The sequence below is a fragment of the Homo sapiens genome, chromosome 1 (assembly GCF_000001405.40).
Source record: "Homo sapiens chromosome 1, GRCh38.p14 Primary Assembly".
Classification (NCBI taxonomy): domain Eukaryota; kingdom Metazoa; phylum Chordata; class Mammalia; order Primates; family Hominidae; genus Homo; species Homo sapiens.
In genome coordinates, this window is record NC_000001.11 from 81,803,806 (window position 1) to 81,821,448 (window position 17,643).

Here is a 17,643-nt window from a genome sequence, read left to right on the forward strand (position 1 = left end):
TCTCTTCCCCTTTCCAGAGGCATAGATTTAACGGACGTAGTTGATTCATTCATTTCTCTGTCACTATTTATGTGTGGAACGGGTCCCACCGAGTTTGCTCTTTGCTCAACGAAGTTGCACAATGAAGAAAGTCACATCCTTTGGTAAATAATTACCTGTTAGGTTGTCTCTTGCTAAGTCAGGTTTGATCTTGGGCAAACCTTAGAAAATAGGCACTAAAGAGGCAATATGCATCCAGAGCAGAAAAATAGAATAGTTTTGGTACTCATCTGTGGCAACATTCCAACTTGTGATGGGACTGTTTTGACCTAACTAAGGGTACTTTGTAACTTTAAATTTTGTATCTTCGTAATACTTGAGAAACCCTTTAAAAGAAAATTTACTTCTGTCCAGGTGTGTTATGGAACGTTTTGTTGTCTCTCCCTCCACCCTTCCATAAATTTATGCATAATAGAAAGAATACTACAGAACAAATGTTCTGTTGTTTAGTTTCTTCAGACATTCCGATTCTCTCCTTTTGTTGTTTGCCTCTAAAAGAGGTGCCATTTCACATCATTCTGCACAAATTGTTTGAATTAATGCAAGTGTGAATTCTTACCGTTTGAAGGGGACTATTAGCATATCAAAGGTTTCTTAGCTTTAGCTCAATTGAGAAAACTTCAGCCTGTCTTCCTTTTGCTTCCAAGCGGAGGCCCAAAGGGCAATGAGAATTGTAAAGGGTAAAAATAGGGAGGTGGATTCAGGCTGTGTTTCTGAACTTTTACTGTTTTGTAGTTATGTGGGCCAAAAACATTGTCTATTGCTGTGGAGCCCTTGCAAATGGCAAGACAATTATTTTCTATTGATAAATGGTTTGTTCCTAGAAAAAGAGTGACCTTTTGTTTTATGATAGTCACTGTTGCCTGTCTTTTGGGGTCCCTTCAGTGTAAGAGAGAGTGAGAAAGCCTTTCCTTCTAACTTAATGCTTTTTTAGGAACTACACTTTGTTTTATTAGTAAAATGAAAAGGCCACTTAATTAGTTTTTAATTAGTCTCTAAAACAATAGAAATTTTGTGATTAAAAGACTCATTTGTACACGTAGGTAACTGTTTTTTATGTGCTAAATAAATAGGGAAAAAGTCAGCGGAGGATGCTGAAAATTAAAACCTCAAATGAACTTGACACAACTTCTGTTGCAAAAAGAAGCTTGGAAAAGTTTTTTTTAAGTGAAGATTCAAATTTTTGTGAATTCTATTTAAATAGATAATTCTGTTTAAATATTGTTTTGTTTCAAAATTTTTGTATCTTGTCAAACAGTAAACTCTAGTATTCAGTTGGTTTATTTTAAAAAATATAGTTTATTTGTTCTTGCTTTTTTATGTTTACAGAGAGAACATATCTTTGAATTTCTTTTAACAATTCAATATCCATGAATGAAAAAAAGAACAAGTGCTTGGGTCATTTGGGTTAGTTATCAAGTGCAGATGGGTCAAGGGGGAACTTTTATCTTCAATTTCTTGGGAAGAATTAGTTTTATTTATTTGACTTAAGAATTTACAAAACTTAATTCTAAGATGGAAATGAATTTCAGGGGAGACTTTTTTGGAGATGTAAGCTCATATTTTTTATAGTTTTACCTTAGATGTTTGGTTGCTTTTGAATATGAATTGATAACCTTTCATTTACTAATGTTCAAACTCCTTGCTTTTATTTTATTAATGAAAATGAATTCCAATATAACAATTTCAGAGGGGAAAAACTATCATTAATTGCCTAACATTTTTAGCTTAAGTGTAATCGGATGATCCTTTTTTTTTGGATTACAATTAGGGTTTTTTTTTCTGTGCCATTGAGATTGTATATCATTATATCCTTACCCTGAAATTATTTTATGGTAGTTTATTTATCTGATCCCTTCACTTGTCTAGGAAGTACTTTAGTGGTTAAAAAAAAAAAAAAAGGCCACATTGATGTAATTGCTATTATTGCACTTAAGTTGCTGTTAACTAGTCTGCTTTGAATGCAGAGTGTTATAAAGAAAACAACATTATCCTTTACAGCTATTAGTGATAATCTAAAAATTGTCTTGAAAACATTGCTCTTCACTTTATGTGAGGGTGATCTTGAATTCAGTAAATCTCTAAAGGTGCAAAATGTAGTGAAAAGAAGATTTTTCAACATTTAGATGACAAAATTGGACTACTTAGGGAAAAATTAATGTGTTGTAGAAGAACTTCAGCTGCCATTTTCAATCACTGGGTTACTATGTGTTGGCAACAGAAAACGAATTTAGAAATGGAGATAGCTCTGGGAGCAGGTAGTTGGGGAAATCAGAATATTGAATCATGTGGGGTAGAACAAACCAATTACTTCAAGTTTTGACTTGAGAATTTCCAATAAGTATAATTTTTTCCAGGCTTTTGACTGTCTGCTTTATTAATGGACTAACATCAAAGCAGGCAACAAAACTTCCAAATGTTATAAAAACTAATGTAAATATACAGATCTCACATGCAGTAATACAAGTCTAAATTTAAGACAAACAGTTGGGGTTTTTACTGCTGCAATTTTCACAATCAGCAGAAACATTAACACCAGGCTTCTGGGTGTTTCCTTTTTTGAAATGAGCTAGAAGAGAGCTTTAAAACTAAGGTTTACTTAGGGTTAATCTTTATTTGATCATTATTGAAGCTTTCTGTGTTTCATTAAATTTAAAATAGCGTTTTAGTATCTTAATATAAGAATATGTGAATTGAGATTGAGATGTCATGAAGGTCAAGAGGTAACTAGAAATCTACAAACCATAGTAATAAAATGTTATTGCTTTATTTTCTATCAAAATATTTATTTGACCTCACTTTTGTGAATATTCAAATAACACTCAGTTTATTGACAGTTGTAGGTGGAATTCTAAGATGTAGGTTAAACATACTTGTACCTACCTAAAAGAAATCTGTTTTCATTTTAACAATCCATACCGCTTGCCCAATGCTGATATTTAAGAACATAGATTAAGGGTTACTTAGATTAAGAATGAAAGATAGCTTTGGAAATGGAGGAATTTAGTTTCACATAAGGTGCTATTTTTACAAAAGTTTCTTCAAAGACTGTAGCACTTTTGCCTCTTACTGTTTCACCATATCTGATTTTGAGTCTTGAAGGGAGAGATGCGCATTTGATGTCTGTCTGCTTTTCTGCAGAAAAGATTTATGTAAAAAATAAGTGCAATTATTTTTAAGGTAATATATTTTGCAAATAAAATGCATCGTTACAAAAAAATGGTTCTTCAAGATTATTTGCAAAAATGCCTAGCTAAAAACTTTTCAAATTGATAGATTTCGATAAAGCATTAAAAATAGCAAGTTTAGCTACTAAGAGCTGAAAAGGAGTTGAAGTTCTGTGAATGTTTTGGTCATATCAGTTCCTATGGATTAAATATGAGTTAATGTAACCTAAATGGATAACTTTTGTTGCTATTTTTAACAAAGATTAGAATATTTATATTTCCAAGATAGATTAAAATCATAGGCTAGTTTACTTCTGTCTTACATAAGACTAATTATTCTATAGCCCCACCCAAATATTCATCTCTTCAAATAATTCTTGATTGAAGGTTGAAAGGTTGAAAAGTATTTAATCACTCAGATTATTGTAATTAGGCTTGATGCTGTCACAAAAATAAATTGAGACTATTCTCTAAAATCTTTTTGCTGCCTAAGATGCTCTCAAAGATTGGCCAGGTAGTGATTATATTTTTTAATGCTTTAAGAAAAAGCTTAAGGAAATAGTTTCTTTAACACAGAGATGAACAGTTAATTATTGGAATTAGGGAATTATAATCCTTGACTTAGTGTGGTAATTTCTAAAGGAGTAACAAGGGTCTGTCAACCCTAAATTTTACTCAGGACTTTAATTTGGTATTTTGAGTGTAGTATATAGGTTTTGTTAAGCATGTTAAGTATAGAAATTTTCTTAATGTTTTGATTGTTTTGATGTAAGTATTTTTGTGTGTGTGTGTGAGTCACGGTGTCATGAGAAAAGGGAGATCCTAATCAAAAATATTTAACATTTTTTTCCTGAGATCATATATCTGCTGCACTAAGTAGGCAATAATTTGTAGATATTTTTTGATATATTCTTATCCAACAGTTTTTTAAAAGCTTATTTTATTATTATTATTTTTTTACAAAAAACCTCCTATATTTGACAAATAAACATTATCTAAAGGAAAAAAAAAGTAGATGGAATAAAGGAACCAAGCGCTTAACATCTGCAAGTAAAGTGCAGCTTATAGCAAAATACTATTGATTGGTTTGGAAGTAGAAAGCAAGTTTAAATACAATTTGTTTAATTACAACGAAAATGCAGTTTTATGAAGTAATATAGTTTGTCTTCACAGATAATTTTATGCATTGTCTGGTAGTAAGTAAAATCCCATCACACTTATATAAGTTTGTTCAATTACCAGAATGACTAAAAGAAAAAAAATCAATTTAGGTTGAAAAACAACAGAAATTAGATTACCTTGGTTTGTAGGAACTCGCCAGCAGTGTCTACATTGCTTAATAATATCAAAAGTTACCATGTTCACAGTGTAAGGATATTGGCGCCAGTTTTGATATGCATACATTTGTTTTCTTGGTGACTTTTGTTAGATGCAGAGTTTTTTCTTTCTGCTTTTCATTTTTGTTTTGTTTTTATGAAAGCTATTGCATGACATACGAGAAACTACTTCCACTGGCATATTCTCATTTATTTTAGAGGTTTGTTTTTAAGTAGTTGCTTTTCCATATTCCTTGGATTTATTATCAGTTGATATTTTAGATTAGTGAAATATCAGGTGTAATCTTAAGAATCAAAAGAAACCTACTCCATTATAAGATATAAATAGGTTATTATCAGCGACCAAAATACATTTTGGCAATTCTTACTACTGATTCTAGAATTACATTGAATTCTAAATCCCAAATTCCTGTGGCAATAAAGTAGCATGGGATTCATCGTAGCAGATAGCTGGGCACCTGTTTTATTACCACCTTGATTAATTCTGGCACCCAGATTTACGGAAGTGCAGGAACAAGCACAACCGCTACTCAAAGCCACCGGCTGTTTTTAGGTCATGAAGTCAACTTCCTGGAATTTCTAGGGAAAATAGTTGAAAGGGGAGGACAAATGTCACTTTAAATAGAGATGTTTAAATCAGATTTCTGCCTGAGGGTAAAGTTTAGGTCTGTTTTAGCCCAGATGTAATGTCTCCCTCTACAGAGCACAGCATTAATCACGACCTGACAAGAAAACGTATGCTGAGCAAAACGTGGCCCCTGTTGGTTTTGTCATTGATTTTTCCAATCTGTGAGGAGTACATTATAATCATTAAAATTCAGACACAGGGATTACACCTTAATCTTTGAATTTCAGTGTTGAAATTAGTTATCTTAAAAGAAGCCTATTTAAGGCTAAAAAGTCTTTGGAGGACTTTTTTTGCGGTAGATTTAGTACTTTAATAAAAACAGAAATATATTGTTAAAAATTGGGTAGGTTAGGCAGATGTTAACTTCCTGAAATATGTGACCAAGTCTTAATTCTGTTTTAAAATGCATTAAGTAACATTTATATATATTTTTAAATCTGATAAAAAAAGAGATGGAGATAAAAATGAACTATTAGTTCTTGGCTATGAGAGATGGGAGAAGTTGAAAAGATGGTTAACTTTAGACTTAGCATCAATTCAAGCACATGTTAATTTGTTAGAACAAAACCAGATACAATCCTGTCTTTTTTTCTGAATGAATAAGAAAAATCTTCAGCCATCATACTAGCGAAGAAGGATGCACCATGAGGTTCCTAATAAAAATGGGCTTAATTTTGCTATTTTCAATTGTTAGGTAGTACTTGTTAACCCCTTTCTTGGTCACACATATGTACATACATAAACACACATTTTATAGTCTGTTTCTCTGTATATATCAATACTTGTTGTTTATTGTTGGCTAAAAATTAGGAAGTTCAAAATGTAAAATATGTATGATTAAGATATCTCTTTTAAAACTGATTTTGAAAATGGTATGACATAAATATCTGTTTTGCTGTCAAATATATCTATATCTCCTGCCTGTGGACTGAGAAATGCTTGTACTATCCACACTTTGCCTCCTTTTATAGGTATTTTTACATCAGTCCACACCTCAAGCTAGTTATTACTCTGGATTTAGATGACAGCATAATCTAACCTCAATTACTGTCAAAAATGGCACTTGACTGCTGGGGGTGGGTTAGGTGACCTTGTTTTGACTAATGCTTTCTCTTGAAGATGATAGTAAATAGTGTCTATTTATAGAGCGAACAAAAGAGAATTCTGTTTTCTTCATAAAGTAAGTTCTAATTCTAATCATTTATTCTTAACATTGTAAGTACTATGACAGCAGTTCTCCATATAATGGGCAAACCATTACAAGATTTTAGATAAAATTTTTAGTTGATACAATATTTCTGTTTTATGCAGACTACGTTTACTTAATCAGTTTTCAGCTTCAATTTACATAACAAATAATCATGTTTAAAATGAGTTTCCCTGTGTCTTTACTTTGAAGCAAAGTATTTCTATGTGGAATTATTACTCCTTTATTAAACTGGTTACCATCCATACGGAAATTTTCTCTGCATTAAAAGCCTACCATTTTATAGTGTTTGCTACTGTGGTTATTGATTAGAAATTACAGAACACATTTCTTATGTACCATTTTCTCCACTCATCTTTGTGTTCTTAATGTCAGGATGCTTATGGCGTATTTTAGTTCTTACAATTCCTGACTTTCCTATGGTTAAAATCTAAGACATTTTGGGAAACATTAATTTTGATAATATTCTATGCTTATGTATTTTTGTCCTAGTAATTGTACATTTTTTTTTAGTTTGATGAAGGCTTAATGTATTAAATGACAGAAGATATACTGAAGATTCGTGTACTGAAAATAATACATCTCTCCAATATTAAAGAGATGAGCATAATTCTAAAACACGTCACTTTGCCTCATATGCGTCGACAAATAAAAATTACACTAAAATTATAATGTCCTAGACATGTTCACTTTTACTAAGGACATATAACTTTTTTGCGCTTTTCAGAGTTCTCTCTGTCACAAAGAAGACAATGTTTGAATATTAGGTGCTTCCTCTTGATAGCTCAATAGATGAATAAATAGGAATGTTCTCCCACTTTGCTTTTTCTACTACAAGTGCTATGATACCCATAGCCTGCACGGAAATGACTTTTCATATTGTTACGGGTTTTAAACTAGATCTACAGCCTGAATATCTAAAAATGTACATGAAACAAAATTTGATTACTTTTTCTTAAGCAGAAAACCCCACAAAAAACACTGCTGATTTGCTGTTGCTGTTCCTCTTACCTCATTTGTTTCATTGGGAAAAGATATAACTGATACCTCAGTATGATATTTCTGTATGTTTTAGCATATCTTATAATTTTCCTTTGTTCAATAAGAACCTTAGTTTTAAAAAGTCACTTCTTATAAGCCTGTCAGTTCATTTCTAGGTAAGTCAAACTGGCTTTGCCTCAGATTTCCAGTCAGTATTTACATGTTATCAAGGTGATATGTTTATGTTGGAACCGAGACATTTTAAGGGAGAGAGGGGCATCAGCGTTCTGCAGCAACACGTTTTTTATAACACGTTGCCCCCGAGACTTAGAAACTGTTCTTAACTTTCTGTTTTTTGCTCCCTTGGCAGAGATACATCACATCATATCTCTGTATACTTGTGGAAAGGAATATGGCAGAAGAGCACATTGTGTAAACAAATCTAAAACAAATTCTGAAAACATATTACAGAAGGGTAAAGAGCATTTTGCAACCCAGATCAGTTTTTTTTTAATTGAAATGAAAATAGATTTTTCATAAATACTCTCCAGGTGTAAATTTTAGAATTATTCAGAATAAGAAGAAAATACAGTTAGCACTGCATTCATTTAAAATTGATCTTTTATCTTTGATTTTAAATTGATCCTAAGATGCTACCTTTGTTTACTTTGTGTTCAGAAAATGAATCAGATAAATGAGCCGGGCAGCTTTTTTTTTTTGGAGTGGTCTATCATTTCAGGCTGGTGCTGTGTAAGCAAGGTAATGTTTTCTTTTTCCTTGAAATACACTGTCTGAGTATGTCTTGGGTGACTTTGTGAAAAGTTTGTGTATCCTGTCTGCTCAAGTTGCCATCTTAACCAGGATGGAGGGCAAGAATAATCATGTTGAACCACAGATTTTCAAGAGCAATTATTTTAATCAGGTAATTGGTAAGGAAGAGAGAAAAATGCTGGATAGTAGAGTAGTATTTCTATAAAATGGTGACTTGCATTTTTACTAAGGTAACTGCCCACGTTTCAAATATTTTTGCTAAACCTTGTTATTACCTGCAGAGGGAGCTTTTATATGCGATGAAATAATCAAAGCAGTATAAATTGACATTTCCCTTTGAAAGTTATGTTTTATTAAAATATTTTTTATTTTTGTTTGAAAAAATTGTTCTAAAGAAAGTAAGGCATTTTGAGATGAGCCAAATTATAGTGCAACTTAATGTACTAAAGGCCTTGTGTTTATCATTTCCTTTATTCATAGATTACAAATGTGCCTTATCATTTCCTTTATTCACAGATTACAAATGTGCCTTATTATATTTTTGATTAAAAATAACTTAAAATATAATAAAGATACCAGATCCATTTTGAGATTATAATTTTTTATTTATGATTGTCTAAAGCTCAGGGAGAATGACTGCAGAACTGTCTTGTTTAAATGCATAGTAGTTGTTACAAGAGAGATCCCAGCTTTTTAGGTAATTTTCCAGATATGTAACATATTATTAAATGACCACTAAACATATCAAAGTGTATTACATTCCTCTACATTTAATTAATAGACCAGATTAGATGAGTTGCATATGTGCTTTTCTAAACAGAAAAACGATCGCTTTGGCTTAATGACTTTTACTTGCAATAATGGACATGAGTTCAATGACATTAAAACACGGGAACTACTAATAAGGACCTACTATTACATGATTTAGAAAACTGCTGACTAACTTGGGAAAAAAATGAATGCAGGCAGAATAGACAGTACTTGATTGAAACCTGAATTCTGTTTATGACTCTGTGCCAGCTGAATTTCTAAGGAATTGTAAGCCAGATACTTAGGGAAGTACTTGAGAGTTTTTCATTCGGGTGTTTAGGTAAGCAGGATGATAAGCTTTTAGAGGCATTTGGATATTTTTTAGTGAGTAGAATTTTTCATATTTCCTGCATACACTTATTTGTGCCAGGAAATTTAATGATAGGATATTATATTACATTTTATTAAAAAATCAATTCCAGTCTTTTCATTTTTCCATTTTGGTATAGTAACATTATTTTAGAATTTGCTTGTTGGTTGGTAAAAAATAGAAAGGTTATTATCCATTATGTATCTTTGGAAAGAGATGTAATAGTTCATTTCTCTTATTTTATCAAGTAATAATATGACAAAAATATTTATTTTGCATTTTAAAAAGCTTCGTTTCTTAATGAAATTCCTTGTTTCAGATTTATTATTTTAGTAGCTAATCTTTACTAATGTGAAAAGTCACATTGTTACTGTGACAAAGAATAATCCTCTAAGTAAGGAAACTTGTTTAATAAAGAGATTTGTGGTACTGGTATGGGCTTTTTTATAAGTAGTATTCTCTCAGCGTGGCCCCGTATTATCTTAACAAGTGTGTGCCACATTTATACAGAGCATTTTTATAATGGGGTAAGAATATTAGCAACAGCAATTATATTTCAATAGGATTAAGATGGTATGTTTTACAAAAGTATACAAATGCTTCTTTTCCATACAATTATTGGTAGATACTCTTTACTGCCAAATTTATGTCATTGTCTTAAATAATATAAAAAGATATTTCTTATCGTAGCTGGTTTTTAATATAATAGGCACTGCAAAATGGGATCTGATGTTATAGTTCATTACCTTTTTTCCCCCTAATACTAAAACCTCCTTCACAGTGAGGTAAGGGTTACTGGAGATTTCATTCCAGGAAAATGGTTATGTGAGGCACAGTAACTGTCATAGAGTGCATAACTTCTGTGAGGTTACTGGAAAGGCACAGCTAGGGTAAGTTCTACCTGTTTTGTCTTAAATTTGAAGGTAGACTACTGAGCGATTTTTAAAATACTGAAATCTGAATCCATTGAAAAGAAATTGTACTGAAAAGTTAATCAAATTAATTGTTCTCATAAAAGTATTATTGGTATTTTATTAGGGATGTTTATGACAAGGAAATAGATTGGTAACTGGTTTTCGGTTTAAAGTAACCATGATCTTGGTAAATTATCAAAGAAAATTTTATCACATATTCTTGAATTAATAATAAAAAAATACGAATTTATGATAAAACATTCTCTGCTCCTTTGTATATACATTATTTAAGCATAGATGTGTATATATTAATTGTTCTTGCATCTGTGTGAGCAGACTGGTTTTTAAAATAATAAGCTATTATGAATAGTATATATTATGAAGAATAGTCCTTCAAGTGAGAGTATTATGTATTAAGAGGGTAGATTTGAAATAATATTTTAAATATAAATTTTATAAGAATGGGAGTCAAATATTTGAACATGTTAAACATTTTAAGTGGAAGTTACCAAAGAATATGATAAACCCTAAATAAGATTAGAAAATTTATATATGTGTATGAAGAGTCTAGAATGCAAAATTATAAACCTGCATGTTTTAATAACTGTATTGGAAAAAAATATTTTAAATTGCTCTTGTTATTCCCAGGATTTAGAAATTAATATTTTTATTTTAGGAACAAAAATAAACAATATTAGTGTCATTTTGCCTGTTGTATGTTTCAAAGCCATTTCTTTTGCCTATTTAATAAAGATTTTCTCAAATTGAAATCTTAACAAAGGTATAAAAAATACTTTTTATTATCTACACTGAATGTAGTAGATTTTGTGGTGTTCAGGTAATGTTGTTAATTCAAAGCTGTGCTAAAGAGAAATGTTAAAATCTTAGAATATCAAGTTTGTTATTTTAAAATGAGAATAAATCATAAAATTTTATACATTTTCTTCAAAAATTTAAACACAGTAGCATTACCTTTATTTAAAAATAAACACAACATCTAAGGAAATCCCTAAAATTCAGAACAAAAACACTCATGCTTTCTACTCATGGGTAACTTTGTCTCTAATATTTGTGTGTTATACATTTTAATAGGAATATGATTGCTAAAACTATTTTTTTTGAGATACATGTTTAAGAAGGGAAAAAACCCATTTGTTAAAATTACTTAATCACTGAGTTTTTATGTCATGGTTTAGAAAATTTATTAATTTTTAGTGCTCTTTAAATCAGATTGTTGGTTTAAAAGATACTGTTATTTTGACCAAATATAAGTCAAAGCGGAAAGGTAGTTGTTAATACTCGTGTCAGAGGCCTTAACTAAAAAGTTAGCTATGTTCAAGGAAAAGACTTAGTCCAACATTTTACTATTTGACAGAGCATCATGCTGTGTTATCTCTTAGTAGTAGTTAGTGGCCCACAGTAGCTTTGGCTAATGCAAAAATACCTGTACTTTTGAAAGTATTTGAATTTCACCTCGAGAAAATCTTTGTTTCATCTCGTTGCTCTGTAGGATTCAGATAACAGCTACAACACAGTAAGGTATTCAAGAATACATTCCAAAAGCACTTTTCTATCATTGTATTCTCTGTAAGAATTAGGGTTGATTCTCATCAGAGTCTTTATTAGTATTATTACTGCTTAAAATATTTTATAGAATTATGGTGACAGTTTGTACAAATAGGGTGACATAGAATTATAATGAACTTGATAGTCAAACATAACCTTTACCTACTTTAATACTGTAGTTACTCCCTCATACCTCATGTGTTTTATTTTTTACTAATTTTCTTATATTGTGTTACTAATAAGAAGTACCTAAGTCCTCTGACATTTCAGCTTGGAAACCTGTCATTGGTTTCTTAAAATTAGAATAGATTTAAAACAATGATTATTTAGGTTAATATTACATGATTAAAACATCCGATAACGAAGCATAAGTATCTTAGAATTCACATTTTCTGGAGTTGCATTTCTTAAAAACATTTGGGATTGATTTTTAATAAGTTTAAGAGTATTTCTAAAAAAAAATTAGGGAGTAAGAATGAGCTCTTAGAACAATACTAAATTGAATAGCTTGTAGTGCAAGCATCACTTAAGTATTTTTAGAATATTGAAAATCTTGTAGATTACATACACTAATGGCCTCATTCTCCTTATTGCTTGTTAATTCTGTGAAAATCAAGAGGAGCATATCAAGGTTGCAGTTAATTCACCATAATATTAGCTTTTAATTGAAAATAAACGAAAATATAGCTTTGATTTGTTAGCTTATTTTATTCAAGTCAGTTTTTCCTATTTATAAAGAATAAATCACCATAAACTCTTATGTATGTATAAAATTGATGTTATCAGATGTTTATACAATTGATGATATTACTAGACATTTTTGCACTATTCTTAAGAATACTTTTTATTTTGTATATTGCTTTAATACTTTTAATATTTCCTCTTATAGAATGTTTTCTTCAGATGTTTTAATAGTTTGATATTACTCATTTCTGAATGGATGGTTGAGGGCCTTTTTCTTTTTTAAAAAACATTTTTCACTACTTGCCATGCAAACTATTTGATCTCCTAAAGAGAACCAGGATATAAATTTAGTAATTAGTATCAATGTATAGGTTTTTTTATTTAATGTGGAATTATTATATGGTGATGTTCTTTGGAGTGTTTTCATGTGACTTAATGTGTATTTAAGCCCTCCATAGTTAAAAAGATGTTTACAGTACTTTCATGTTTGGCATTATTCAACTCTTTCCAAAGATTCTTTTAATATTTTGTCTGATTATCATTTATTTTAACCTACAAATGCTCTTTTTATGCTTGCCTACTTTTATTCAACCTACAAAATAAAACTTTATTACATGTACTTTACCAAGTCCTTAATAAGCTTCAGTATTCAGTATTGCCAAGCACTTATTAAAGCTTCAACATTTTCTTCCTTTATTTTGTTAATGGTATCTCATGAATGTTGAATTCTTAGTTTTTTGGGGCTTTTTTTTTTTCAAGTATATTTAGGGGGTACAAGCACAGCCTTTTTACATGCATGTACTTTATAGTAGTGTACCCATCATCCACATAATAAATGAACGTTATACCCTCTAAGTAATTTTCACCCCTCACACTTCTCCCACGCTCCTACCTTTTGTAGTCTCCAGTGTCTGTTTTTCTATTCTGTATGTCTAAGTATTTTTCATCATTGTAGCATACAATCAAAAATTGGTAAAATTTAAGTGTCAAATTCCTAGTTAAAATTTTTTGAAATGATGGCATACAAACAGCTTTAAAGGTAGGCCTTCCGTCCCATTTTTTTTTTTTGGTAAGATTTATGAATAGATTGAAAAATATAAAAATTCGGTGGAAATCAGAAGCTAAGTCTTATCTTTAGTAGTCAGCTTCCTTTCTATGAATTTGAGTTTTATTGAGTCTTCTTCATCACAAGAGATCATGAATTTGGTAATAAATCTAGAAAAGTGCAGCTTTTTGTTAGTATATGTAAATAATACACATTTTTTTAAAAAATTGAAGATCGTTCTCAATTCTTAGTATAAAAATCAGAAATTTGTCTGGGTCTTTAAAAATATAGTACAAATATCTAATAATGTATTTGGTTGTTTAGCTGAAAGGCAGATGTTTCAGTCTTTGGAATTCAAGACTATATTAATCTAATACTCCTTAAACCAACATTTTATTTATAGGGTGTAATAAAAATCATAAAGTTAAATTTGAATGAGTAAAATCTTGATTTTTTGGCGGCCTTGTCCCCATTCTGTGTTGTGCATTCCCAAGGCCACAAGATACTGCCAAGCCAGAATGATTCAATTTTTACCGTTATCTACCTCTCACTCCTAGTTTATTACTTTATTGAGACGCACAGCACTAGAGAATTCTTGCTATGTGAATGATTTCTTTTGGCCAAGTGCGGTGTCTCATGCTTATAATCCCAGCGCCATAGAGGATGAAGTGGTAGGATAACTTGAGGCCAGGAGTTCGAGATCGGCCTGGGTAACATAGCAAGACCCGTTTCTACCAGAAATTAAAAAAATAAATAAATAAATAGCCAGCGGGGTGGTGCGTGCCTGTAGCCCCAGCCACTCAGGAGAAGTGGGAGGATTGCTTGAGCCCATGAGTACGAGGCTGCATTGAGCTACAATCTTGCTACTACACTCCAACCTGGGCAACAGACCTCTCAGAAAAAAAAATTCCTCTTGAGAGTCTTACTAAAATAAAAATCACAATCATATTAAACTTTCAAAAATCAGGTATTTCATATGTGGGTACAATCTCTTGAAGTATGTTATGCTTTTGTAGTTCAGAGCAGCTATTTCCTTTTTTTACAGATAAGGTCTTGGATTTACTTTAATAATTCACAGCATTTATAATGTCTTGGATTTTACATTCAAGATGTAATTTTTGGTTTCCTACATTGCCACAGAGGTTATTGTGGCAGCACATGTGGTTTTAAAAATTTGACAGAACTTCTGGTACTGAGTTTGCCAAAATTACCAGACCAAAAAATACGCATTTGCTTGCATTGGTCTTAAAGGCTGTATTTTGAAATGTTGATTGTATTTTATTCTTTCCAAGAACGATCCTACTTATAAGCATATTACATCTACCTTGCCATTACTTCTGGGCTTAATTCTATTAATTTTGTTTAGATCAACAGCCATTTATTAAGGCCATGCCAGGAAAACTGTACTGTTATGTAAGGACTGTGCTCACTAGGTTCACTAGGTTGTGAAATATTTGCACAAATAATTCTTATAAAAGTCATACTACGATATCATGCCAAAATGAAGTGCAGAGAAAAGGTTGTAAAAATATAGGGTAGGTTAGAGTAAATTCAAAATGAGTGGTATGGAAAAAGAGACCCCATTTATTTAGAACTGAAGGCAGAGGAGGATTGTAGGCTATATAGTCTTTTCTGAGGAGGAGAAAAGTTCAGAGGTAAAGGCACAGGAAAGGTAAAAATATAGTGCCTTAGGGGGAATGTGAAGTGTACAGAAAGTAGGAGATGAAACGGGTGTGTTAGTTTGGGACATGATTATGAACAGCCTGCTCTTTTAAGATTCTCTTGTAGGCCACAAAATGTTGTTGATATTTTCAATTGAGAACATGTTATACTTATTTGATAGCATTCAAGGTGGTGTATCCAATGAACTAGAGTGGGGAACTAATGAAAGAAATAGGAACCTAATTAGAAGGGGTGGACGACAGTCCTTGGTGAGAGGCAATGGCAGTAGACAGATATGAGAAGTTTTGTAATGGTGGGTTAGAATTTGGCATTTGATTGAATGCGAGGTAAAGGAGGAGCAAAGAATCAAAGCCCAGAACCAAGGTTCCAGCCAAGTCTTTTATGTATTCCATTAGCCTGCTTTAGTGGAAGGGAGAAGGAATGAGCCCATTTTCTGATGATACTTTGAGATGCATGTGTTAAAAGTCCAAAGTACCAGCTGCTGAGAAGGTTGATGCTTTGTTGGTATGTATATTTTTAAATGTGGTATTTGTAAAAAAAATATATTTTTTCTTCCTTTTAAATGTTTTTAAATGTTTTCGAGTGTATACCTGCATATGTTTTTACACTGCATATGTTTAAGTGATACTAATTTTTTTTAAATACTCACATAAAGTGAAAATTTTTATTATGCGATATTCAGGCTACATGATCTAGGTTTTTATTTGTATTTTAGATGAGATTTCTAGTAGGTAATCAAGACTGTATAAAAGCTATCGTAATCTGGTTAGAAATCTTTATTTTGCTAAAGAATACTTTTGTCATTATTAGACCTGTTGAGATACTCTTCATTGTTCAGGGCCATTTTAGTAACATTCTTAACAGCTCTTTAAACAAGTAATTTGATATTCTTTGGTTTCCTTAGATACCAGCCTGCCCCTTTTCAGAAAGCTTAGGGATATCTGTGCCCTCGAAGATTTAAAAAATTTCATTGCAATTTATCTTCACTGCAGCTTTCTCTTTTGTTACCATGAACTTCTAATATTATATATTTATTTTATTGGTACGTGGGGAAATTTCCCTGCTTCACCTGTTCTTTAAAAGAGTAACAATCATTTCCTCAATAGCTTTTCAGCTCTTCATACCCAGCAATAGTTCTTAGGTTTTATAGCTGATACTTTGTATCATGTTAATTATGGGTGACAACCCTGAACAACAACCCAAAGCATCTATCAGCACCTATCCATCAGTGATTAACTCAGAGTAGGCTCTCAATGTATTTTTTGAATAAATGCTTATCATCGATTATAATGAAGATCACAAATTGTGCTGGAACCTAACCAGTTATAGATTCCTTGCATGGATATAAGAATGATAAGAGTTACAATTAAAGTGTTATAACACTGAGTTGTGTGTCCTAATCCGAAAGTATTCTTGCTTCCATATAGTAGAGAAAATTTTTTGTGATGCAGTTACAGTGCTTAATAAAGCTTCATACATGGAAACTCTCAGTAAATGCTTATTGTTGTCATTATTGGTGTAAATTAAATCTGAATATTAGTTCACATATTTAAGTGGCCCTTTTGGTATCCGTTTTCACTCTTCAGATTTTTTTTCTCTCATTTTTTGGGGGGAAGACTCTTCTTTTTTTCAATGCTGCTCAAGATTTTCTATTTTTTAAATTAGAGAATTTTCTATTATTGTTGCTACCTTCCTTAGATGATAAATCAGTAGCAAGCTGACTGGTTTTTATCAAAATTGATGTTCTGATATTGAGAACAGGAAGTGTTGATGTTGACCTGTCTGTCTGAAAAAAAAAAACAAAAAACCCCACAATATTCTGCTTACACTTTCACTGGGCAATTATGTAAAAAAGATCAGTAGTTTTTCCTTGTTTTACTTTTATAATCTGATGCCTGGTGAAATAACCACACAGAAAACATGCAAGTAGGAATCTTTTGTAGTTCTCCATGGCCTATAATCCCTGCCCCCAAATCATGCCAAGCATTAGGATCCGCCCATGTATTAACAGCTTTAAGAGGAAGTCAGTAGAGGATCCTTGTCAGAATTGTCCTGGTGTGTGATGGCTTGCTGCTTTTTTATGAAAGGATCAGTCATGCCGAAGACATAGCTATGCATAAGGTAATCAGCATGAAATAAAGGGAAGTTAATTAAATATGGTTGTCAATACTGTAGTTGTGAATTTTATTTAACTAGTTAAGGAAACTAAAAATATGACATCCTTAAAAAGACATTTTTAATGTTTATAAGATAAAATACGTAAAGAAAGTTTTGACAATCTTAACAAGTCCATTGTCAAACTATTACCAGGCTGTGTAACCATCTAGTTACTTAGCAACCTAAGTGAAGCAATAGCATTTAATATTTTGTATAAATTTTCAGCAAAGGCGGCCCAAATTTTTAGCATTAGAGACATTTTCTGATATGCAGGGAGCTCTTCCTCCACAGTTCCTTTCTTTAGTGGGTCATTACATACCACAGGTGGATTATGTTTATCTTTT

The 17,643-nt window shown here is 31.5% G+C and overlaps 1 protein-coding gene across 64 annotated transcripts in view, besides 1 other annotated feature; it reads left to right on the forward strand.

The window, feature by feature from the left end:
* The window catches only part of ADGRL2 (adhesion G protein-coupled receptor L2), a 687,801-nt gene that overhangs the window by 497,674 nt on the left and 172,484 nt on the right, over positions 1-17,643 (forward strand). The window contains exon 2 of one of the 64 annotated variants that reach the window (NM_001366002.2): positions 8,038-8,118. The exons of the other annotated variants lie outside the window; for them this stretch is intronic. The gene's annotated coding sequence lies outside the window, so the exon portion shown is untranslated. The remainder of the gene's footprint in view (positions 1-8,037; positions 8,119-17,643) is intronic. 64 annotated transcript variants of the gene reach the window in all.
* Positions 253-895: an enhancer, noted in NCBI's record as "NANOG-H3K27ac hESC enhancer chr1:82269743-82270385 (GRCh37/hg19 assembly coordinates)". NCBI's record gives its function as "activates a minimal SCP1, AML or CMV promoter by ChIP-STARR-seq in primed H9 embryonic stem cells {active_cell/tissue: H9 hESC(primed)}" and the evidence as "EXISTENCE:reporter gene assay evidence [ECO:0000049][PMID:30033119]".